We start from the raw sequence: 27634 nt of genomic DNA, 5'->3' as shown, positions 1-27634 counted from the left end.
AGTTTAAATGTTCTCACCACAAAAAATAAGTATGTGAGGTGATGTGTATGTTAATTAGCTTAACCACTACACAGTGTAAACATATATCAAAACATCCTATTGTACCCCATAAATATAATTATTATTTGTTGAAGTTTTTTTAAAGCTAAGTACAAGTACAATTTAGGTGGGGAAGGGAGCAAATGTATTCTGCACAGAGGCCTCAGATCTCTAATAGAGTGACTGAATTCCTGAAAATTCTAAAAGACCTTTCTCTCTCCTATGTTTTTTTTATATCTGAAAGTCTTTTTTTCCTTTCACTTAGAGGTTTGCTGTGTATTAGATGGAAGCAATATGCTTTGTTAACCATTTCATGTGTTATTAGAATTGATAAAAATATTTCTATTCTAAACTTTAATCCTTGTCATTATTTTTGAAATACAGTTTCTATTTGGAAATTTTGCCTGTAGCAAGTCTGAGGGTCAGGAATTCTGGTCAGATAAGCTGAAAAAAAAATTATGTGCTAATACATTCAACTTGGGTTATGTAATTCCATATTCTTAAATTTCTTTTTTTAATAAAAAAATTAACCTATGCTTCTTTGAAAACACTATTCATACATAATATATGAGTTGAAGCACAATATAAAATTCATTATATTGTCAAAAAAATTATTCTTTACATGCCCCCACTCCATTGGACAGCTAACCTTTGTTGGCCTATTTGTGTATGTTATTTCAGAGTATGCACACACACACGCATGCGCACACACGCACACACACACACATATACATACATACAAACATATAGTTTGTTTTGTATAAGATATATGATCATGGTATATAGTTTGCCAATCTAATCGACCAGTTGTACTGTTCATCACAGCCTAAATTAGATGTGTCTTAACATTTACCTCGTTTATCTTTATTTTTCAGAGTAAAGCACCCTGAAATTTTTGGTTGAATTCTGAATTGGGAAGATTCTTATATAACCATTGGTTGCCATCCTTAAAAGTTTTCATCAAGAAAAAACTGGGCCTGACACAAGGGAAAGGGCTTCTGAGGATAACATAGCTTTAGAGCATTTAGTGTGTGTTGGAGGGGAAGTGAGTGATAAAATAGTTTAGAAGATAAGTGGTTAAGTTTTAGGAAGATAAAATTAATGTGAAGGGAAAACAAGCTGCTGCTTCTCTGCTTCAGTCACTGCCCTGACACTTTGCAGAGCAAAGCATCAGAGGAGAAAGGAGAATAGACTGTCAGTGGCTTGGCAGGTTAGATTTTTATGTTTCATCAGCCGCAGCATATTATCTTCTCAAAGTCTTTGTGATTTCCTTTTTTTTTTTTTCTGATTCATGTTGCACTTGTTCTGCACCAGCGAAAAAAAGTAGCTAAAAAACAAATATAGGCATGCACACATATTCACTGTCCCCTACTTATATTTAGCTATTTAGCTATACCTCTGTTACCAAAGACCTTCAGTGAGCTGTGAAGGTTAGTAAACAGCCCTGACTAATTCATTACTACTCAACCTTTATTTCAAGTGAAGCTAAAAGGTTGTTTTAGGAAGAAAAGCTATTTTCAAGAACAGGTAGATAAACAAGTTAAAAAGGAGAATGAGAAATGTTTAAGGAGTAATATTAGGCTCTAATTACTTGGGAATTTAAATTACAAATCACATAGTAGGTGACACTGAACCCAACTGATCACCAGAAGTGTTGAAAACGTGGCTGTCAGTCAGAAAGCCACAAATACGGAGGCTCTGTTTTTGTAGATCCGGCTGACAGCTCTAGGCTTGGCAGCCTTGGGAGACTCATTTGTTGTTCTTGTCATGAAGTGATTATAACAAACACACGTTCTCAGGCAGATAGAGAATAACTATCTGTTGTGGGTAGGTATAGTGTCCGTTGTGGCTTTTTTCTAAAAATTGCTGTTGCGTTGGTTTGGATTTACCCAAAATTACGTGTTGTGAAAAAAAGGCTACAATTCTACTTTAACCAGTTATCTATCTAGTAGTTTAATATGTACGTTTCTGCTAAGGGGAAAAGAGAATAAATTAAAATATAGAGTGGAAATTATGAAATGAGTAAGGAAGAAAATTAGGTGAAATTCTAGATTCACTTTAGCATGGATGTCTTGTCCACAGTAATAATTGAACTTTGAACACTGCTAGATTTGGGAGGATTTATAAGAGATTGCTTAGTGCTATTTGTTTTAGTAATGCATTCCTTGATGTACACGTGCATTTACCATCCTTGTTGATTGACGCGCCTGATGGCTTTCATTCCACTGTGAGCTTCTTCAGGGAGGGGATAAAGGTCTTTAGCTGTTCCATCAGCATGACCTACACCATGGTTGGTATTTCTTCTTTTTTTAAAAAAGAAATGTGAAGAAAAGACAAGTTCCTAAAGGTAATGAATTTCCTCTGTGATTTCTACAGTCAAAGAGGCCAACATGGTCACGTTTGAGAAAAAAATCATTAACCATGCTTCGGATGTGTTAGGAAACCATGCGCTTGAAAAGAGGATGAGTGTGTTACCTTCTTAGCAGTAGGAATTAGAGCTTCCAAGTATACCTCTGATCACTGTGAAACAGTCCTTCAAAATTCCCTCAATTTTGGATTGGTAATATTTGCTAAAAGCAACCATGATCTTAATACATATAATCAATATGTTTTTAAATTAGAGATTCTATGCTATTTGTATTTTATGATTAGAAAGCAATGACCCTGTAATGCTATTAGATTCTCTCTTCTGATACAATATCTTGTGACCAATAATGTAGCTTAACTCTCTTTGCTTCTTTCTCTTGTAAGGACAAAGGTAATAACAACCATGGGTTCAAAAAATATATTATAAACAATTAAACATAAATAGAATAAAAATAATGAAACAGGCTACAGTGCTAGGCTTGAAGTTTTTCTTGCTGAATGTCCTTTAGCAATTTATATCATTTATGTTAACCTTACCAGCTTCATGTATAAAATGGGGATCTTACAAAATTATATTCTCATTATTCAAAAGATTGTTGTGGGATTCAAACAGTACAATATTTTTAAGCATGCAATAAACTGGAAATCATGAAATACATATTAGTTTAAAATGGTTTCTTGAATTACAGTAGTTCCTTTTGTAAGAGAGAGACTTTTTACAATGAATACATATTATATATGACGTCTAATTCCAGTAATACATGAAAACAATTGTGGGAAAGTTAAGGAGTTGTATTAACTCTTTCAGAACCAAAGTTTATTCACTCTAAGTGCCTAAGTTACTCCCGAGAATGATTCATGTAGAGGAATAATTCAAACTAACTGATCTTGGTGTCTATCCATAAAATGTAGCATGCTGGAAAATCCCATCTTTATCTTACTATGTGATTCAGAGTAAGAAAATTCTTAACTCAGGCATGGTTTGAATTACATAGAATATTGAAATGTAGTTTCTGAGGGCTTTAAAAATATGTACGTTAGTTTATAAAATGCCTTTGAAATACAGACTATTATATTTATTCAAAAGTCCAAGAATGGGACAGGAAAAAGCAAATGTGTTGAAGATGCTTCTGAGTGAGAGAGATATGTTAAAATGATGACAAGGGACTTTAAGCTGTACTGGAAAGAAAATGAAAATAATAAATAATAATAATGGCAAACACTACTATTACTAGCTCTTTAAAGCCTCATGTACAGGAGTGATAGTAGTCCTTTTCCAAATATATTGTAAGGTTTCCTTCATATTTTGTTGATCTGCATTTTGTGTCATTTTTTCTATAGATACGTTTTAAGTTTGTATTTACCTATATGTATGCATCTTTTTCTTTATGGTTCCTGGCCTTCATGTCATATGTAAAATGGCTTTTCCTATTCCAACACTGTTTAAAAAATTCACTAGTATGACTTTAAAGTACTTTGACACCTTACTTTGTAATTATGTACATTTCTGGTGCATCTGGAAATTGTATTAGCATAAGAAAAGAAGAAAAAGTATGTCCTATATACATATTCCCATACAACTAGTTACTTGACCCAATAGCATTTACTATTATAAATAATCCAGCTCCTCTGCCACCAATTTAAATGGTTGCTTTTGTCATAAAGTACATTCCCATATATATTTATATATTTCTTTCTAGACTCACTGCAATTTCCATTGATCTTCCAAGTCTTATTTCAGAACTAAATTGTTTGAATCATTATAACCATATGATGATATCCTCCATGACATGCAATCTCCACTTGACTTCTATAACATCAAAGACTCCTGATTCCTTCTCTGTTCTGGTTTCTGCTTTGCTGTTCCTGGTGTAAGTTCACTTACTCTGCCCGCCCCTGAAATCTGGGTGCTTCTCCAAATTCAGTCAATCGTTTTCTTTTCAGTCCCAATATTCTCAAGGTACACTCTTATCTAGTCTCAAAGCTTCAACACTGTCAAATATTACTGACAAGTCCAAAATGCTAATCTCTGGCTCAAAATTCTTTATTATGGGTTAGCCACATTCCCTAAGTGTCTACCCATATAGATGCCTGGAAGTCACTTCAAATTCAAAATGTCAAATATTCATTATCTCTGTTGTCTCATTCACCCTAAACTTTCTCTTCTTCCTGTGTCTTCTATGCCTTCTCACGACTTATCAAGAAGTAGGCCAGGCCAGTGTTGGCTCATGCCTATAATCCCAGCACTTTGGGAGGCCGAGGTGGGCAGATCACGAGGTCAGGAGTTCGAGACCAGCCTGGCCAACATGATGAAACCCCATCTCTACCAAAAATACAAAACTTAGCTGGATGTGGTGGTGGGCTCCTGTAATCCCAGCTACTCGGGAGGCCAAGGCAGGAGAATCGCTTGAACCCAGGAGATGGAGGTTGCAGTGGGCCAGGATTGTGCCACTGCACTCCAGCCTGGGCCACAGAGTGAGACTCTGTCTCAAGAAAGAAAACATAAAAAATAATAAATAAATAAATAAATAAATAAATAGAAATAGGCCAGGCCAGAAATCTGGGATTAACCCTCATCATTCTCTTGCCCTCACTGTGTTTTTAGTTAGTTAATAAGTTTGTTATGCCAATGTCAACTCTCCTATTGATGCCACATTTAAGGATGCCATCATCTTTCCCACAGGCCATGTCAGCTGCCTTCCTCTTTTTCAATAACTCCCCACATTATCCAACAGATCTCCCTGAAATGCAAATCTGATCATTTAATTTCATCTACATGAACTTTTTCCCGTCTCACAGTATTAAGATAATCCAACTTTAATATAGCATTTAGAAGCCCCTGCATGGCCTGGCCCTTGCATACCTCATCTCTTGCCACTGCTCCCCCTTCTACTAATATTCTGGAAATGCTGAGCTTCTTTATGTTCCTCAAATATGTCCTGTCTCTGCTGCCCACAAGTCTTTGTCTAAGCTTCTCCATCTGCTTGGAACACTTTTGCTTCTTTCTCCCTGGCCAACTGCTGCTCATCAATCTGACATCAGCTGAGGCTTGATTTCCTCCCAAAAATATTTCTCAAATTTTCCTATGGGGTCTTGGTACCAGTGTATGTTCTCCCATAACAACCTGTGCCGCTCCGTTTTAACACTGTTTTGGAAATGCCAGCCTGTGTCTTTCATATAAGGAATTAAATTGCAAAACATATCAAAACAATACATGTTGCCTGATATATTCACCACTGTATTCCTAGTACCCAGGAGAATGCCTGGGCATTCACAGTGTTCTCTGAATATTTATAGAAGAAAGGGACAAAAGAGTGAGAGAGGAATGTAATACATTATTTACATGATGTCTTTCTTTTTCTTTCACCCACATAATACACAAATGGGCAGTCATATACACATTCATAAAATTATCATATACAAATTTTGTACACAAAATATTGAAAGCAAATACTGTAAAATGTGAGTGACTTTTGTGGATATTGAGATTGTAGGCAGTTTTTATTTTTTTCTTTTAGTGTCTCTATACCATGTAAGACAAAAAAAATCAGAAAATCTATAACCAGAAAAGTTATTCAAATTAGACTCATAATACTCTTAATTGCAACTCTTAAAATACATTTTAGAATATAAATATTTTGGTTTTTGTGTTGTATTTATCTTCTAGGGTTTCTCTAATGTAGTACCACAAACTCGTGGCCTAATACAACAGAAATTTATTCTTTTACAGTTCTGGAGTCTACTCCAAAAGCAAGGCATCAGCAGACCTGCACTTCCCCTGAGACTCTGCATGGAATCCTGCCTTGCCCCTTACTGGCTTCTGATGGTGGCCATTGATCTTCGGCATTCCTTTGCTTTTGCAGCTGCAGCACTTCCTCTCTACCTCAGTTGTCACATGGTATTCTTCCTGTGAGTCTCTTTTTTCTTTTCTTATAAGGATATCAGTCCTATTGCATTAAGGATTATCCTACTCCAGAATGACCTTTTCTTAATTTAACTAATTACCTCTGAAAGGATCCAAGTTCCAAATAAGGTCACATTCTCAGGTAATAGAGGTTAGGACTTCAATATGTCTTTTGGTAGGAGACACAATTCAACTCATAGCCTATGTAAAAAGCACGCCTTTTTGTCTAACTCTTATATATGAAATGACAAATAATGAGCTCATCCAGACTGTACTTTTAAATGTCTCACAAAACAAACTGACCTATGACACAAATGTAATTATCCACCAATCTTTAAGATGTGAAGTAATATAGTCTTCCCATTGCTTTTTTTTTAATATTTTGCTACTGAGGAAATTATTTTTTTTGTTTTTCTATTTATTATATTTGTGTGAGTTAGGGATTGAGTTTGGCTGCAAGGAGGTGATTTGACTACAACAGCATTAGCATAAAAGGATATATGTTTCTTACATTATAAGCAAACATAGCATAGGCAATTACTAGTACTGGTTCAGCATCTCAAGCATGTCAGGGCTAAGGATTTGTGATTTTGGGGGCCTTTGACTCAGCATCTTATAATATATGCTCCACAGCCATAATTTTATTCTAAGCAGTTAAAAAAAGAAAGGCATTAAAAAAAAAAAAGTCAGTGGATCATGCCCCCTTTTTAAAAGTGTTTTCCTCAAGCCTCATTCCCAAGATAACCCATTAAGATAACCCAGAAAGGACCTGGGAGAGAAGACATACCATATCTCTTTCCTTCCCCCATCCAACCCATCAAGCACAGAATATTTTTTTTTAATTTCAATAGTTTTGGGGGTACAGGTGGTTTTAGATTACATGGATGAGTTGTTTAGTGGTGAATTCTGAGATTTTCGTGCACTGTCACTTGAGCAGTGTACTCTGGTAGTATTTTATCCCTTACCCACTTCTCATCCCCCAACCTCACGTTGCCAAAGTTCATTATATCACTGTGTATATGTCTGCATCCTCATAGCTTACCTCGCACTTCTAAGTTAGAACATATGGTATTTGGTTTTCCATTTCTGAGTTACTTCACTTAGAATATTGGTCACTAACTCCATCCAAATTGCTGCAAAAGACATGATTTTGCTCCTTTTATGTCTGAGTAGTATTCCACGGTGTGCATGTATGTGTGTGTGTGTACTTACATTTCTTCCCTGCTGTATAAACCTCTAATTTTAGTCAGTTGAGGAGATGGATTTAAGAATGATGTCTCATTTCCTTGGCTGAAGGAAACACACATACACACTACACATACACACACGTATGTATATATGTATAATTTTCTTTACCCATTTGATTGATGGGCATTTGGGCTGGTTCAATATTTTTGCAATTGTGAATTGTGCTGCTATAAACATGCATGTGCAAGGGTATTTTTCATATAATGACTTCTTTTCCTCTAGGAAGATACCCGGTAGTGGGATTGCTGGATCAAATAGTAGATCTACTTTTAGTTCTTTTAGGAATCTCCATACTGTTTTTTATCCTGGTTGTACTAGTTTACATTCCCACCAGCAGTGTAAAAGTGTTCCCTTTTCACCACATGCATGCCAACATCTATTTTTTTTTTATTTTTTAGTTATGGCCATCCTTGTAGGAGTAAGGTATCTCATGGTGGTTTTAGTTTTAAGCACAGAAATTTATGAACATTCACTTAATCTCAGTGGTGAAGGACTGTGTGATTGTTTGAGGGACATAATCATCTAATTAGGTCAAGTTAATTTTTCCAAATATAAATTAAATATACATCAGTAGCGTTGGCTATTGAAACAAAAACTTTAAGTGTAGCCTGCACAAATGGTTCTCAAACACTGATCTACTGTCTGACTCTAGGTTCTAACAATGTTTTTACAGTCATAGAAAAATAAGAATAATTAGAACCATCTGGAAAGTTTGTCACTAGGTTAAATTGATTGAACTTACAAAGCTGTCTCATTTTCAGACTGGGTCTTTTTTACCTTTTGGGGGTTATTAAAATATCATTTCTTATATAAAATGTTGGTAATAATGAATGACAACCCTTTTGTTTTACTGTGTGTGAATGTTCTTGCTCAGAAAGAAAAGAAAAAAATTCTGTTTAATCTTTCAAAAATGTTGTTTCATGAAATCCAGCAATATGAGAACCATAAACAATATTTCACCTTGGTATGTTTTTGGTACATATTTGGTATAAATGACTGTACGTATTTGTGTTTCGGTACTAATATTGTTACCTGAATGCCAGGAGCTTTGTCTAGGTCCTGCTGCTTGCAGCACAGGAAGTCAATCACTGAGCCAGGGAGGAGAGCTTTATACAGGTGTTGCAGACAAGGAAATGAGGTGTGATTCTTAAATCCATCTCTTCAACTGACTAAAACTAGAGATTTATACAGCAGGGAAGAAATGTAAGTACCTGTGGGAAAAGAGGCATTAGGGAGGGATAAGGAAGAGGAGTTGGTAAACAGGAATCACGATAGGTCTGGAATCTCATTGTCCTGATGTAGTGATCTGGTGAATTTCAGTTTCTTGATACTATCTAGGGGGCCTGAGGGTTGGTTTCCTGAGGAAAGAACTCAGGTAAGACAAATATAAATTTCAAGCTTTCAGACCAGTGGGGTTAATTTCTGTGTTTATCCAAAAAACCCAAAAACCCAACCCCCAACAAAAACAAAACAAAACAAAAAACAAAAACAGTAAACATCAGTTATATGGGACAGTTGGACCAGTTTCAATATTACCTTGTCTTTAGACCAAAAAAAAGTTTAAATACATAAAATTGGCTTTTTAAAATTCGCTTTTTATCCTGGCATCAGCTTGGATGCTTTCTAAATAGGATGACATTTAGAAAACGGGGATATGGTGAAGACTAAAATACAGAGGACAGACTGCAGATGCTCCTATACTTATGATGGGGCTATAGCCTGATAAACTTATCATAAGTTAAACATATCATAAGTTAAAAGTGTGTTTACTACCCTGATAAAGCCATCACGAAGTTGAAAAATCTTAAGTGGGACCATCATTAAGTCCAGATGTCTCTTGATTTACCATGGGGTTATGTCCAATATATCGAACATAAATTTGAAAAAATAAGTCAAACCATTACTAATCAAGAACCATCTGGATTTTGGCTAGATACACGACTAAGCACTTTATATATATTGGCATTTTTCCTTATTGGCTCTCATAGAAGTACATACACATGTTACTAACCCACAAATGAAAGATCTGATATTCATAGAGTTTGAGTGACTTGTCAAAGTCTCAAAGAGGGTAAAAGGAAAGTAAGGATTCAAAACAAGCTCAGTCTTCTTCAACAGGCTATGATTTGAATGTATTAGGAGAAAACATGCTACTCCTTTAACTCTATGAGTAAAGCTATGCCTTTATTCAATATAACATGATTTTGTTTTTTGAGCAAAACAATTCCTACGCCCATGTAAGTAATATTTTCCCCTGCAGAGGTGGTCTTCTGCAGAGACCAGTCTGTCCCACAATTTTTTTTTCTAAATGGCTTATGAATAATACAATAAATATATTACTAATATTTAGTGTTGTTATAGTTGACTTTTTAAGTGAAATATAAAATTATATTAGCTTTACTAAATTTTTTAGGACATGACCCAAAATTTAGATCCTCCAGAGCTCAAGCAGTCAAAATAACTGGAAGAACACAGATCTATGATGATGAAAGGGACGGATGCTGGATTTCATTTGGGGAGGAGCAACAGGAACAGTTGAGAAGTTGGCCTACTGGGGTCTTCATGACCACCCAAAGTGAGCAGTTACTACCAGCCCAAGCAGATCATTAACATGTAGGAACATAGGCCTATTTCCCCCAGAACTTTAGATTTTTAAGAGAAGCTTGTTATGTTGAATTTTATATGCAAGCTCCCCATTTTCAAAGGTTGAAAAAGACCTAAAATTTAAACACTTTACAGCTCAACAGTGGGTGGTGGGTACAAAAGTCTCGGGGGAAGGTCAGTCCAGGAGCTAACAGCTTGTAACATATGAGTCAGGTATTTTTTCACATGCATGTGTAATGAACATGATGTTGAACACAAAATGATTAACCAGTAACATCCTAAGCTATTGCTATAAAACAGATAAACTGCTTGGCAAGCATTAAATTTCAGTGTGACTGAAAACAAAGAGAGACTTTTTTTCCCAGAAGATTCTTAAGCTAGTCTCATTGAGGAAGCATACAGATAAAGCAGACAAGTTTCTTTATTAGAGAAACTGAGTTGTAATATAACTCTACCATTTTCAGACTTAAAAAGCACTTAATAAACATAATAAAATATCACTTTAGGGTGATTAGGGCCCTGGGGCACAAAAACGGCATTCAGAACCCGCTAGAATAGTGGGAGCAGTAGGAAGTACTCCACACAGAAGATGGCTCTGATTTGACAAACTGTCCTTAGGAAATTGATTAAGGCTCATAAACAGTTTCTTACTGAGGAATTACAGGAGGCAGCATCAGAATCCACTATAAGTGGTCAAAACTTCATTCTGTCTTTTTAGCACTTCCAAAGTACGAGAAAATGTTATAATTCCCCGTTGATAAGAGTGATAGACTGAGAAAGCCCTAACCTCAGAGAGCTTACATTCCCCAGCATACAAGGACATGAATGAATGAATGAATGAATGAATGAATAAAATGATCTAGATAGTGACAAATATTCTAAGGAAAATAAAAGAGGAAATCAGAGAGTACCAGAGCAAATGTCTGAGGATACACTGCAAATGGTGGTTGGGGGAAGCCTCAGGAAGCTGACTTCAATGTTGAGGAGTGGAGAGTTCTGACAAGAAATGCAATTGCAAATGGTTTAAAATGGGGATCATCTTAAAGAAATACCACTTGGTGTGGATCCCTTTACAGAATGTTGTTACAGTCTTCTGCAACGCATATTTTGTTCTTGTTTAAAGATGCTATGAAATAACAAACACCTACAGTGTTAGAATCATGATATAGTAGCTCAGAGAGGGCAGAAGCTGTTAAGTATCCTTTCACTCTCCCACAATACCTGCCAGGTCCTTGCAGTTAAAATGCTGTTAATTTCTCTGAATACACTTTTCCCATCTGTTAAGTCTCTACTCATTTTAAAAAGAATGATATAGGATGCAGTGTTTTTTGTTTCTCTCTCTTCCTCTCTCATATTTTCTTTAATGGAAATCCAATTAGGTAGAAATCAATTTATTCACAATAAAAATGGAATGTCTAAAAAAGGAGTAATAAAAACATATAGAATTGATTTATTGTGCTCAGTTTGAAGAAAAAAATCCCTCAGACTGGTTGAATTTAACAAAGTTAATTTAAGCAAGAAAAGTTTCAAGAACTGGGCACCACCTAAGACCCACGATGATTCAGAAATGCCCCCCACCTCCTATGTGTTAAGCTATATTTATAACCAGAAAACAGAAAATGAGAGACAGCGATTACCTGATTGGTACAGTCAGGCATTTGCCTTATTTGGGCATAATTTGGCAGCTTTCCTGGAACTCAGCTGCTTGATTAAGAAGGTGTATACTTCTAGGTTAAGTTGCAACTTGTTTACACATCAAGCACATCAAGCTAGGGTACAGTTCACTATGTACAGGGCCACTTTGGGCCAAAGTTAATTTAGTAAGTGCTTTTATCTAATAAACTCTTCATTGCTCTCCTTTTAATGGTGGAGAAACAGATTGTACAACAGGGTCCAGCTGTAGCGAACGTGTTTACAAGAAAACCCAGTAGCCTCAGAGGAGGCTGCACTTTGTAGGGAAGGAAGGGAACATCTGAGCATGGGAGAACTGTGAAGCTAAGGTTAGGTAGCCCTGCCATCTTCCCATGTCATCAAATTTAGCCCCATCTGAGAAAGATTCCTTAATACATACCACACAGTGATGGCTAATACTGTCAACTTGATTGTATTGAAGGATGCAAAGTATTGATCCTGGATGTGTCTGTGAGGGTGTTGCCAAAGGAGATTAACATTCGCATCAGTGGGCTGGGAAAGGCAGACCCACACTTAATCTGGGTGGGCACCATCTAAACAGCTGCCAGTGCAGCAGCTAGAATATAAAGCAGGCAGCAAAACTTGAAAAGACTAGACTGGCCTAGCCTCCCATCCTACATCTTTCTCCCATGCTGGATGCTTCCTGCCTTTGAACATCGGACTCCAAGTTCTTCAGTTTTGGGACTCAGACTGGCTCTCCTTACTCCTCAGCTTGCAGATAGCCTATTGTGGAACCTTGTGATTCTGTGAGTTAATACTTAATAAACTACTCTATATATATATAGGTGTATATATATGTGTGTGTATGTGTGTATATATATATATATATATATATATATATACATCCTATTAGTTCTGTTCCTCTAGAGAACCCTGACTAATACACACACTACACAGGTAAAATAGAAGAGTACCTTCCTTCCCAGCCCTAATAGTTCATGTTTTCTGGACAGACCCTAATACTCACCCAGAGTTGCATGAGGTTTCAAATGAGAATTTTGAGGCTGACCAGTTTTATACTGAGCCTTTATCCAACATTTCCCTGTCCAGTGTGGTTAACTATAATATATAACTGGAATTTTCTCTACCAATTTCTAAACCTCTTTGGAAACAGAATCCATGTCACCTTTGGATTCTCTACATAGGGATTTTTGGTTGTATTTCAGAAGATGGTATGTTTCAATCTGAACTAGTTCTAGGTAAAATTGTAAAGTACACAATTTAATTTCTCTAATCTCTTAGCCTCCTGGTTGTGGATAATTTCTTCTTTTTTTCTGGCTATTTTTAGATTCCCAGTGTCCTCGTATTTTCTCCTTCAACCCGACGTTTAAAAAAAGGGGGGTATCCCTGTAAAAAATCCTGATAAATTCATTTACACTAGATAAGAATGTACTGTTTCTTTAAAATGTTCCTCTCACTCTCTTCTAAGGAGATTTTGCATTATACCTAGTCCAAGAGGGATTCCAGTGGAAGGAAAACAATGCCTAGGAGACTTCAATCTATAGCTCCCAGGTGCTTGTGTATACATGAAAAGTAACATTTATAGATTTGTTTGTATAACACCGCTGTATTAGTTTATTTTATGTTGCTCTAACAGAATACCTGAGACTGGGTATTTTATAAAGAAAAGAAATGTATTGTAGCAACCAGCTAGGTGAATACAAATTCAATCTACACATCCCTACTATTTAAAGTTTTCCAATCTGAGAAAGCCTTGGGTGCCTTGAGTTATAGAAAATGTTTACATACACTCACCCCAGCACGCCTTTTCTCTTTCACCTTACTGCTCCTCAATAGCACTACCTCAGTCTATTCGTCCTTCCTTCCTTTTTTATCCCCTTCCCTCCTTCTTTCCTGCCTTCCTGTCTACCTTCCTGCCTGCCTTCTTTTCTTCCTTTTTGCCCCCTTTCTCCCTCCCTTCCCTTTTCCCTCCAGCCTTTATTGAGCATCTGCTGTTCTGGACACTGCACCAGCCTCTGAGAGTACTATATAGAACAAGGTGCAGATCCTGCCTTCAGCAGCTGCCAGGCTAAGAGTAAATGGTGAGAAGTAAGCACATAATAGGAAACTAAGAAAAGAATTTGTAACAGAAACACAAAGAGAACATTTTCCATGAGAAAGTAGATAACTCTGGAAGAAGCAGCAAGATTTTCTAAATAAGTTTCTATTAGAGACAGCTTTTGATAGATGGCTAGAAATTACTATTTGGAAAGTAAGGGGATAACATTTTGGATAACAGGAGAAGTGTTTGTAAACAAATATCAGCTGTAGTAAGAAGAGGAAAACATGTGGCCCGTGTGATCAGAGGTAGAGTGTACTAGATCAGGGTAGGAGGCGAAGCAGGAAAATTAAAATGAGGACATGTACTTAACCTTGTTATCCACAATAGCTGCACCCTCTCCAATATGTCAATTGCAAATAGCCCATTTTCTGAACACCACTGTCAGTCCTGAGATAGACCTGCATGGTCTCCTGGTTTTCTATATATTTCACTGGTTTGTCCTCCTTAGTCTCTTAGACATGTAAATGTTGAGATTCCCGAAGCTTAGTCCATCAACCCTCCTCCCCTGCCATTTTCTGTTCTCTATTGAGAGAAGCTCCTTTATGAAGTACCTAAGAGCAATCACACAAGAGCCAAACCTTAGTTTAGTTTCCAACCTTTTGCCTTATAAAATGAGTGTGCATCTCCCATGGTTTACTTGTTGGTAAAATAAAGATAGTGATAAGACCTATCAGAAAAGCTTGTTGGAGTCTTAAGTAGTCTAAGATATGTGTCCCAAAGAGACTCAAAAGAGAAGGCCTAACTGCTTATCCTTAAATAGACCTGCTCACAAGTTTGGCCCTGAGTTGGCATCTGGGAACTTGGATTTGGGGAGTATTTCCACACAACTAACTGATTAGAGTAGCTCACCATAACTATTTATGAAAACAATATGGTTTGTGTTGACCACCTCTTTTACTTCTGAAATTCTGGAATATTTGTGCGTACCAGACAGAGGCTGCCTGTGTGATTAGCCTCCAATAAAAACCCAGGGATCTGAGTCTCTAACTAGCTTACCTGGTTGGCAACACTTCCTGTGTTATCCCATCTAATTGCTGGGGGTTTAAGCATATTCTACATCACTCCACTGGGAAAGGATGCTGTGTCTGGTTTCCCTCAGAAAATGCCCCATGTGCCATTTCCCTTTGTTGATTTTGCTTTCCATACTTTTCCTGTAATGAATCATAGCCATGAAAGTGATTACGTACTGAGTTATTTCAGCCCTAGCAAATCATCAAACCCAGAGGTGGTCTTGGGACCTCCAAACATAACATGGAAAAAGCCTTTAGGTGAGTGTTAGGCATATCATAACCACAAAATAAAATTTGCTATTTTTATTATAGACCCTCTTTTTTTAAGATGAGGCTCTTCTGGCTTTAAGTATTACCTGCATTCTGATGATTATCAGATATGTTTCAGCAGTTGAACCCTTTTTTAGAACTACAAATTCATATGTCAAATTCCACATATAGGATCTGCATGTGAGTTTCTAATGGGCATCTCAAACTGAAGATGCACAAAAGAGAACTCTGGATTTCTGCTTCAAGGAAAAATCTCCACCACTGTCTGTCACAGAGCTGTTGAAATCACTACCATCACCCTGCTGTGTGGAGTCTCCAGTGTTTCCCCACTTTTGTTCACACTTCGTGTATAATCCATGAATAAACCTTATTTATCTCCAAAGATATGTCACAAACATTAAACACTGTTCATCGAATCACTATTACCTCTCTCCAACCTGTGGTAGGAGCACCCTATCTTCTTGCCTTTATTTTTACCTCCACCAGTCTATCTTTTACAGACTAGCCAGTATTGTCTCTTTAAATTAAAAGCAGAACATCTCTTCATTACTTTAATCCCCTTGGTGTTTCTCCATTTTAATTTAAATATGATCCAAACTTTATCCCATAACCTATAAGGACTATATGATTGACCCTTGCTCACCTCCCTGTGCATCTTTTGGCTTGCTAAAGTGTCCTTTCTCTTCCCCCAACATGACAAGCTGGCTTCCACTTAGCTCAAGACTGGGAGCGCTCTCTGCCTGGATCACATTGACTCCAGGTTTCTCATGGCTGCCCACTCTCATAAGTCAGGTCACTTTCAGACCACCTGACTTAAAGTAACCACTGCCCTCTTACTTTATAGCCAATGTTTTATTTCAATCAACTATCACGAACAAATTTTTGCTTTATTTATTTTCTATTTTTTATATTTTTTTCAAAGTTATTAAAATCAGTCTCCGACCTGCTTCCTCTTTCTTAGCGCTATTGTTCAGAAGCAATTATTTTGATTGAACAATTTTGGCTCTTCATTTTTTATTAGAATTAGCTTTTTAACTCTAAATAGTATAGATGTTTCTTCATTTATCAAATTTAGTCATATATGTTTACTTCTCACTTTGAAAGATAGAGCTATGGTTCCTCGCATCACTCTTAATTTACCCTCATCCTTTCCTCCCAAAGCTGATTATTGTGTAATATTACTCCTTCTACTGTTTAAAAATTGAACAATATATAACTTTTTCAATGCCTTTTCCCATCAACTTGACATAATATCTCTAGAGTTCTCTGATGTAAAAGGAAGATATTGATGTCTCTTTCCTTCTCTCCACGAACCACATCTAAATTTCTGTCATATGAAAACCCATTCTTTTAATTGGGTTATTTTTTACTGTTGAATTTTAGAATTTTAGAAATCATTTGTATATTTTAGATAAAAATCCTTTACCGATATGTATATTGCAAATATTTTTCTCTCAGTCTGTGGCTTCTCTTTTTATTCTCTTTCTCAGAACAAAAATTATTGATTCTTATGAAATCTAGCTTATCAATTTTTTCTTTCATGGATCATGCCTTCGGTGTATCTAAAAAGTCATCACCAAAAACTGAGTTACCTAGATTTTATCCTGTTATCTTTTAGAAGTTTTATAGTTTTGTATTTTACATTTAGGTCTGTGATTCATTTTGGTTTACACTTTTTTGGATGTTGTAAAGTCTGTATTTAGATTGATTTGTTTTCTTTTTGCATGTAGATGTCCAGTTATTACAGGATCATTTGTTGAAAAGATGATTTTTTCTACATTATATTGACTTTACTTTTTTGTAAAAGATCAGCTGGCTATATTTATGTGGGTCTATTGCTGGGCTCCCTAGTCTGTTTTATTGGTATATATACACCTTTTGTCAATATCGCAGTGTTCAATTTTCACAACTGATATGATTGATGTGTCATAACATCATATTGTACCCCATAAATATATACAACTATTATTTGTCAATTAAAAGTAAAATAAAATTTTAAAAGGTGCTTGGTAGAGTTTACCAGTGAACCCATCTGGGCCTGGTGATATGTATTTTGGAAGGTTATTAATCATTGATTTAATTTCTTTAATATATGTACCCATTCAGATTGCTTATTTCTTCTTATGTGAATCTTGGCAGATAGTGTCTTTCTAGGTATTGGTCAGTTTCATCAAGGCTATAAAATTCTTGGGCATAGAGTACTTTATATTGTACCTCGATTATCCTTTTCATGTCTATGGGATGTGTATTGATGTACCTCTTTTCATTTGTTTGTTTTTTTGTTTTACCATATTGCCTGGGCTGGCCTTGAACTCCTGGGCTCAAGTGATCCTCCTGCCTCCACCTCCCTAAGTGTTGGAATGACAGGCATAAGCCACTGTGCCTGGCCTCATTTCTGAGACCTATTGATTTGTTAATATTTTCAAAAAATCAGCTCTTGGTTTCATTAATTTTCTCTCTTGATTTCTTGCTTATAATTTCATTAATTTCTGTTCTAGTTTTTATAATTTATTTCCTTCTGCTTATGTTGCATTTAATTTGCACCCCTTTTTCTAGTTTCCTAAGGTGGAAGCTTAGATGACTGATTTCAGATCTTTCTTTTTTTCTAATATATACATTTAATAGTATAAATTTCCCTCTAAGCACTGCTCTCATTGTATCCCACAAATTTTTATGTTTGTTTTCATTTTTATTTAGTTAAAATATTTGTGAAATTCTTTTATAATTTCTTCTTTGAACGATGTGTTATTTAAAAGTACATTGTTTAATCTCTAAATATTTTGGGATTTTCCAGCTATCTTTCTGTTATTGATTTCTAGCTTACTTCCACTGTGGTCTGAGAGCAGATATTGTATAATCTATAGTCTTCAGAATTTACTAAGGTGTGTTTTGTGGTCTATCTTGGTAAAAGTTCCTCTGGCTTCTTTGAGAATTTGTTTGTATCTTTTATTTTCTATAGTTTGAAAATAATATGTCTAGATGTAGACTTTCTGCCATTTACCCTTCTTGGTATTTTGTGAACTTTCTGCATCTGCGGTTTGGTGCTTGACATTAATTTGAGGAAATGCTCATTCATTACTGTTGCAAATATTTCTTCAATTCCTTTCTCTCTTTCTTCTTCTTCTGCTAATCCCTTCATTCATATGTCACATCTTTTGTAGCTGTCCCACAATTCTTCAATATTCCATTTTTGTAAGTCCGTTTTCTCTTAGCTTTTCAGTTTTGTAGTTTTGTTTGAGATATTCTCAAGCTCAGAAAATCTTTCCTTTGTCTTGTTCAGTCTATTAACAAGCCTATAAAAGGCATTTTTGATCTCTAGTGTTTCCTTTTGGTTCTTTCTTAGAATTTTCGTCTCTCTGCTTAAATTGCTTATCTGTTTTTACATACGGTCTAGTTTAATCATTAGGACTCTTTGCATATTAATCATATTTGTTTTAAATTTCTAGTCCGGTAATTCCAACATTCCTGGCATATCTGAGTCTCATTGTGATGATTGCTGTGTCTCTTCAAACTGTGTTTTGGCCTTTTAGTATATCTTGTAATGTTTTCTTAAAAGCCAGCCATATGTACTGTGCCAAAGAGGCTGCTATAAACAATCTTTTAATAATGTAGAGGTAAGGTACGGGAAGAGGAAGTGTTCTACAGTCCTATGATTAACTATCTATCTTTTAGTGAGCTTGTGCCTCTGGACTAAACTTTATACATGCTTCCCAGTCTACTTCTCCCCACCCCTTGGGACAGGATGGCTAAAGTGGGCTGCAGCTGACTATTTCTCTTCCTCCCAGGTCAGTTTGGCTCTGATAAAGTTACAGCAGGTTAAACTCCAGTAAAATAGTTTTTCCTGAGGGTGGACTTTGTTAAGGGAACCGAATGGTCTGATTTATTTCAAAATAGTTCCCTTGCTTCTCCACCTGCCAGCAACACAAGGGGATTTTTCTCTAGTATTCACTGTGAGGACCTGGTAGAACACCAGGAGGCAACATTCACAAAAGTGTGGGGCTCTCCCTATGACTGTGTTCCCCCGGAGATTTTAACCCTCAGAGTCGGCCCCATCAAGCCTCCAGCAACTTGTCAATTACAGTTTAGGTTTCACTATCCTGACACTTGTTCCTGCTCACTGATTTCTGTTGCAGTAATTCGTGATCTCTGTGATTGCCTGTTGATCTCTCCAATTTTGGGTACAGCAATTTGCCCTGTGACCTCCCTTCTCATATAGATCTAAGAAGAGTTCTTGATTTTTCATTTTTTTAATCTTTTTACTTGTTAAGAAAAAGTGGTGACTTTCAAGCTTCTTAGATGCCAGTCCACCCCCAGCCCCAAAAAAGAAAGTCCATATTTTCTCTTATGTTACCAGGATTTATAAGTTTAATATTCTCTTCTGAAGCCATATTTCATTTTTCCGTGTGGACATATTTATATTTTAAAAGCAACTATGGTGGAATTAAGGAAAATGGTTTCAGCTTCTTTTTGTCCTTTCTCTTCTCTTTATGAAAACATGCTTCCTGTTTTTTATTTGATCGCTTATTCATACTAAAATGAAAATGACTGATTTAGTCTATTATAAGCATGAAGAACAAAGATATATTGCCTTAATTTCAGGCTCAAATCTTACTTTGGGACCACAATCACTTTTCCAACATTTTTGTATTTATGTTGTTTTAGAGTTAAGATTTTTTGAACTTTAGAAAATGTATACAGTAAACATATTCTATGTTACCTAACAATCCCAGCAGGGCTTGGGGCAGAGCCATGTAATCAAAAATATTTCTTCAATAAAGTATATAATCACACTAAGTGGCATAGATCAAGACTAGAAATCACTTCACATCACTGCAATCCAGATTTTCTTGCCCAGAAGGTACCCAATTTACCAAATTATTTTCAGTTTTCAGAATATTTTAAATGTTAGACCTGTAGATATAGGTTATGCAATAATATATGATAATTTCCAATTTGTAAGCATAACTTCCATTCAGTGTCTTGACTACTTGTTTTTACTCTTACATAGCATGAATCTGTATTTTCCACTTTCATATAATACCATTGTACACCCATTACCTTTGTGAAAGCTAGTTAATTGCATAATGAGTAATATTTATTTTTATGTATATCTACATTTTATTGTTTAAATTTACTTTTATTATGGTAACATCACAAAAATAAATTTATATGGTGGGTTAACTGAGTTGACTGAGAATTAGTAAATTTGTTGAAGTTCAAATTAGGTGCATTAAGTTTACATGTCTTTTTCACATTTATTATCTCCAGTTGAATTTGAATGGAAGAAAACCACTTTGGAATCATATACAATGCCACTGCTTCGTTACGTTTCTGGAAAATTATAGGCAGCATATTTTATGATTAAACACTCAGGATCTAGAGTCAGAAACTATTTAATTTCATTTCTGCTTCTTAGATAAACTTTGGGAAAAATAAATCCTTCAAGACTCAGTTCTTTTATTGGTTAAAAAAAAGAGAGATGATGATACTAATTACATGTTCTGGGTTACTGTAAGTTAAAATTGAGGCAAGGCTTATAAAGTGTTCAGCATAGTTTCTAACAGGGGCTACAATACATTTTAGTATTACTGTTAAAAACAGAATATCCTCTTAGGCTAGTTCATAAAAAAACAAGCAAACAGCATAGATATTTATGAAACCATCTGGGTATATTTATGTATAGAGTTGACTGCATTTGTTCCAAAACATTAGCATGTTTTTGATTTCTAAATCTTCTTAGTCAACTAAATCAAAACTTGGGTTTTAATGTGAATGAATATCATTATCCTAATATTCTAAACATATTCTAGTATTTTATGAGGTAGCATAATGAAAGAATGGGATAAATAGATCAGTTCACTTTTGTTGCATATACACCATCCCAAAAATTAGTGGCTCCAAAAAAAAAAAAGCTCTCATCAGTTTAGTGGAAAATGGAAAATCTCAAATATTTTTGTAAACTGAATTTTATAATATTTACACTTTCTTAATTATATAGACGAATACATCATAACAAAGACACTAGAGATTAATATTCAATATTCATTCTACATTATAATTATTTTTAAATTAAAACGCTTTCCTTTCTTACTTGGAATTGGAAAATTTCTAAATGACGGCGCAGCATAGCTAGGGATTGCCTGAGAGTAAAATTAAAATAGAGCAAATGGAAGTGTTCTTCTTTATTCACTTAGCTGCATCTCTGAGCCTAGTTTGTCTATGAATCATTTATCTTTGATATCAGCATATTGTCATTTCCTATATAAACAAGAAAACTCTCTCTTTGATATGAGATTAATGCTGCGTTGATATTCATAGGGGTAGATTCACTGGGGAAAGGGGTTTGCAAAGCTATTGAATAAATGCCTGGTATATTTTCTGGCGTAGATACACCAAATTTGATGCTGAAAATTGGTCTTGAGTAATGCTTGTGACTCTAGACTTAACATGTGTATTTAAGACTGTGTAAAGGCACAGAGAAAAATACATTGGTTGCATTTCCTATTCTACTGCAGTTTATCTCTCAGTTTTAGTAAGAAAGAGGGTTTGCAGTTTTAACCTTCTATGGACAAACTCCAGAAAATAATGCATACAGAAAGTGTTATATTTTCATCTCCTTTTGCCATGCACTTGTTCCTCACAATCATTCCTGCTGACCCTTTACCTGAGTTAACACTTCTCATGTATATCCTGTTTATTTTTTATTTTTTTAAAATCAGTCTCTCTCTCCTTCTTTCCCTCCTTCCCCCTTCCCTCCCTCCCTTCCTTCCTGCCTTCCTTTTTTTTGTTTTTTTTTGTTTGTTTGTTTTTTTGCTTGCTTTCTTCTATTTACTATTTTTGGAGGGATGATTACTTCTTAAATATTTATTGGATATTGTGCTTCATTAAAATATAACTACCTTGGGTACTATATTATAAGGCAGGGTTCTCTAGAGAAACAGAACATATATTAAAAAGCTTATATATATAAACTTTTAAAATATATGCTTATTTATATATAAAGAGAAAGAGAGAGAGAGAGAGAGCATGTGTGCACAAAATATACAGAGCTATTGCCCTAGTTAAAGTCCAATAGCCAGAAACTGCTGTAAAGACAAGAGCCAATTATTCAATTTGAAGGATGTCAGACAGGAGAACTTTCTCTCTAACTCAAAGGAGAGTCAGCCATTTTGTTTTATTCAGACCTTCACTGATTGAATATGGCCCATCCACATTATGGAGAGCTTTTCTCTCCATAATGTGTATTGATTTAAATGTTAATTTAAATTTAATGTTAATTGATTTAAATGTTAATTTTATCCAAAAACACCCTCACAAAAACACCCAGAATACTGTTTGACCAAATATTTCATCACCCCATGGCATACTCAAGTTGATATATAAAATTAATCATCAAAGATATCATTCATTTAAAGACCTTCCCCTGCCTTCTGGTTTTTTTTTTTGGCTTTTCTTTTGTTTTGTTTTGTTTTGAGACGGAGTCTTGCTCTGTTGCCCAGGCTGGAGTGCAATGGCGCGATCTTGGCTCACCGCAACCTCCACATCCTGGGTTCATGCGATTCTCTTGCCTCAACCTCCCAAGTAGCTGGGATTACAGACATGTGCCACCACACCCGGCTAATTTTGTATTTTTGGTAGAGATGGGGTTTCTCCATGTTGGTCAGGCTGGTCTCGAGCTCCACCTTAGGTGATCCGCCTACCTTGGCCTCCCAAAGTGCTGGGATTACAGGCATAAGCCACTGAGCCAGACTGATTAACAATTCCTTTGGGACCACTACAGGATGTGATGTAACTTAAAGGTTAAGAATTAAGGCTCTGGAGTAGGAGTTTCTCTCTCTCTCTCTGACACTTATTGGTAGTAACATGGGAAAATTATTTAACATAGCTATCTCTCCATTTTCTTGACTGTGTAATGGAGTAAAGCTGTGTGACCTCAGGCTTAAAATTAACTTTACTGAGGTTGTTTTATCAAGAAAATAATAATAATAAAACTATTGTCTGTGGTAGTTCTAAAATTTAATTATAATTATATATATAGAGAGAGATTCATAATTTTAACTCTCAAAATTAATTGAATTTATATTTTATTATTTGGTACAAAAATGTCTCATGTTGAGACCGTCCCCAAATAGCTCACAAGGGGATAGCTATAACGCCCTTACCTTGACACAAATTCAATCTGTAGCCCATTTTTGACTCCCATGTGTATTTTCTTTTAATACAAAATTATTTTCAATTTGGAATTTAAGAGAATTGTTTGAGCTTAAGTGTAATAATCTACAATGTATTCTATAGCATGTAATCTAAATTATTCCTAGGGTTTATTCTTCTGATTTGAAATCTCCCTACTATAACTTGCTCATTAGTTAGGTTAGGCTAGTGTTTTAGTCTAGGGCCAATCACAAGACAGATAAAAACTGCATAATAATTTGATGAGGGAAGGTTTAATATAGCAATTATTGAACTATAATAGGGGAGTAACATTAAAGATGTAAAGAGAAATCTGAAGGGCTTTGTACAGCTGGATGAGACTACATAAGAAAGGACAACTTAGAACTGCCCTACCACCACCACCTCCAGCAACTGGGATTCAGACCTCAATGGAAAAGGTACAGTTTTAATCTACTGACTTGTAGGAAAGTTCACCTACCAGTCAGAGTAGGTAAGCCAAGTTAACCTATAGGCCAGTGCTGGTTCAAAGTTGTAATGAAAGCAGGAAACAGCCTTAGGTGCAGTCGAATGGAGACTGGGTGGCAGGCAGGCATAAAGGAATCAAGTGTTAGGAGCCCAGTAGCTGGCAATGGCATGAGGCCTGCTGGTGTGTAAGGTTGGGAAGCCTGCAGGAAACAACTCTTCCAACACAGTCTTCCTGAAGTTGTGTTGTGCTGGGAGTGCTCAGAGAGATACTGGAATGGAGCTGGTGATAGTCACCAGGCCCCAACCTGGGCTGCTGCAAAGTTGCTGAGGGACAGTACATTCTGGGTGTGCAGCTGGGGTAGGATGACCCTGGATGTGAACACACACATTCTCTCTCTCTCTGTCTCTCTGTCTCTCTCTCTCTCTCTTCACTAGTGGAGCACTCCAGAAACAGGAAGAGCGGTCCCTTTCTCACGTAATATCTCTCTCCGCCCTCTATTGATGAAAAATAACATAATTCTCGCTGTTAAGAAGAAACGTTTAGAGTCTAAGTCATTATGTCAGAGCCAGCACCAGGGAGTAAATTTGGAGCTGAGAGGAGATAAATTGGTAATGGGCACAATCTTTTCCTCTGGTTACTCAGTTTCCATATGCATTCTCCTATACACACACACTTGAACTACTACAAAACAATACAACAATGCCAAACGATCCAACTAGACTACACTGTAGTAAGAAAGAAATACCTATCTTTTATTGGCTCATCAAAAATATTATTTATTTCTTCACGAAGAACAGGAGGTTCTGCAGCACAATTATCTTTCAAGAATTAAGAACTTAGGCTGTTTCCTTTTAGAACTTTGTGACCTATGTGTACTTGGTTTCTAATTGTGAAGAAAGAGGGAGGATAGAAAATGCTCATTCTTAACCGCTTCGGTAACAAGTGACACATCCTACATTCCTTCTTTTGATGTTCCATTGCAAAAGTTTATTGTGTGACCCCACCTAGAAGCTTTGTGGCTAGGAAAACATAAGGAGTATGTAGATACTTGATGAGCACCAGTGGTTTTTACCACAATTTATCAAGTACAGAAACATAAATTACTTTTGATGCCTCAGAACACACAATAAATTGATCAAGTGAAATAAAACTGAGAACCACGATCATATAGTATGCATAGTTCTGGTGTTTTCACAACATGCCAAATATGTTATTTAGCACAAGACAACAGTGCTGTTTCTGACTTCTACTTGGGGATTTTAGTTCCCTTGAGCTGTTATTTATTGCAAAACATTTCTCATGGGTGTGTCATTGAATGGAGGCTTAGTCACTTGTTTTCAAGAAAAAAGAAATAGGATTTGCCCTTCTCTGTTGAAATAATATGACAACAGAAAATGATTTGTAACTGGCAAAAACAAAAAATAATGAATTTAAAATTAGCTGTGTGTCAAAGCAATACATGTTTACTTCAAACTGTTTTTGAGTAAAAATATTTGCAAGCAGAGAGCTACTAATAAGAATGAAATTAGAACAAAATATTTTTTAAATGCCTGTATATTGTGACTTTGCTGTGCAGGTATCCCCAGAGTGCACCTCACTACTGACTTTGCCCTGCGGATTCATTAAGTCACACTTTATAAGCAGATGGCTGCTCAGTAGACTTATGCTTAGTTACAGAAGTACATGCTTTAACACTTCTGGATTATCCATTTTAATGTAGGATAGCATCTGAAAACATTTATCTAAGAAATATAAAAATCAATAAAATAAATGTATCTATAAAAATAACAAAAAATATAAACTAAAACTACATGCACTGCTTATAGGGATGGCAAAATAATGGGTGACTTTTTTTCCTCTTGCTTGCACTTTTATGTATTTTCAAAATGTTTTTTGTGTATTTTACAATAAACATTTTGTTTTATAATTGAAACAATAATAAATGCTTATGTCAATGTGTGCTTTATGTTTTATGAATGTATTAAACATTTGAAAAATCTGACCGATATTAGAAGAGTTATGCCCTGGTACTGATTGCATGGTACAAGGGATTTTACTGAAACCAATAATACTGTTTTGGATGATTTAAAAAAACAATTGCAAATTTACTAACGAATGTATTACATGAATACCTAATACCATTAAAGCATACATTCAGATTAATTTGGCCTGTATGTATGTGAATAGGGCAACGATTTTAAAATATTGTCTTATTTTATCATAAGCACTGAATTATTCTCTACTTATTTATGCCATTTTTATTTTTATTCTTCAGTGAAGTTTTATAATATTGTCTCAGATTTTTCCTTTACTAACTTTTGTATTTATTCCAAGAATCCTCATAGTATTTAGTGGTCATTATGAATGGAATGCTTTTTGAAAAGTATAATGTTTTCAAGTTAGTTGTTTCTGATATTAAAAAGTGCTATTCAGTTTTGAAGATTGGGTTTATATCATGCAAACCTGCTGAACTCTCTTTTCATTTTCCATATTTGTCTATAAATTCTCTTGAATTCTTTTTGAAGACACACATATTTGAGATATAATGATAATTTGGGTTCTTTCCTTCTGATCTTTATCTAACTCATCTTGTCTCATTGTGTTACCCAGCCCTTCTAGTAAAATGTTGAAGTAGTACTCATTATGTTTCTCTCGTCTCTTATTTTCATGGGAATACTTTTATAGTTTGATCTTTGACTATAGAACTTTTGTGGGGTCTTGGTCTGTATTTTTTACCGCATAAGGTATTTACATTCTATTCCTACTTTGCTAAGAGTTTTTATCACATCCAAATTTTATATTTGATTCTTTTTTGCATTTTTAATATGTTCATATGATTTCCCTATTTTAATCTCTGTAAACTCAATTTGGTTGTGCTATGTTCTTTTTGAAATATATGGCTGGATTTGGTTTACTAATTACTTATGACATTTTATTCCTAAGTGAAATTGGTCTAGAATCACCCAATCCCATAGTACTTTATCTAGCTTTGATGTAAAGCTTGTGCTAACATAAAAGAATTTTGAATCTTACAGGTTTTTTCTTTACTTAGGAATAGTTGCATCTGAGGTCATCCGTTCTTTCAGGATTTGGCAAACTCACTTTTAAAATGACCTGGAAATACAGTTTATTATGTATGTATATTTTTGAGTATATTTATAACAGCTATTTTCTAATCAAGAGATTGTCAAATTAGGGCCTAAAAGCCTAAAAACCAAATCTAGCCCTCTACAAGGTTTTGCTATAAAGTTTAGTGGGAAAAAGCCACACTCATTTTTTAAATATTGTCTATGGCTGTTTCCATACTACAGTAGCAAAGTTGAGTAGTTGGGGCAGAGACTATGGCCTGTAAGAGTAAAGTGTTTAGTATCTGGCTCTTTATAGGACAAAATTTTCAATCGTTGGTCTAATCAACTATTGAATGGAATTTGAAAATTATTTTGCTCTATAAAATTTTCTTATTAATTGGAATTTCAAAGACTTTGGCATAATGTTTATTTTATTATTTTATGATACAGAACGTGCAGGGTCTCTCTACTAATTCCTCATATTATCCTAAATATTTTTATAAACAATTTTGCTTATTCTTTCTTCCATGAATTACTTAGAAGTTTAGTTTGTTTATTTTATAATTCAGAAGCTTAGGAGATATTTAAAACCTGGCTGCCGGGCGTGGTGGCTCACGCCTTTAATCCCAGCACTTTGGGAGGCCGAGGCAGGCTGATCACGAGGTTAGGAGATCGAGACCATCCTGGCTAACACGGTGAAACTCCATCTCTACTAAAAATGCAAAAAATTAG

At 35.4% G+C, this 27634-nt stretch overlaps 1 long non-coding RNA gene across 1 annotated transcript in view; it reads left to right on the top strand.

Moving 5' to 3' along the window:
- The window catches only part of LOC101929485 (uncharacterized), a 254397-nt gene that overhangs the window by 46839 nt on the left and 179924 nt on the right, over nt 1-27634 (top strand). Inside the window, exon 3 of the long non-coding RNA XR_007095992.1 lies at nt 26887-26968. This is a non-coding gene — a long non-coding RNA (uncharacterized LOC101929485). The remainder of the gene's footprint in view (nt 1-26886; nt 26969-27634) is intronic.

This window comes from Homo sapiens, chromosome 3 (assembly GCF_000001405.40).
Source record: "Homo sapiens chromosome 3, GRCh38.p14 Primary Assembly".
Lineage (NCBI taxonomy): Eukaryota > Metazoa > Chordata > Mammalia > Primates > Hominidae > Homo > Homo sapiens.
Note: the sequence above shows the minus strand (reverse complement) of the source record. Positions and strands in the feature narration are given on the sequence as shown.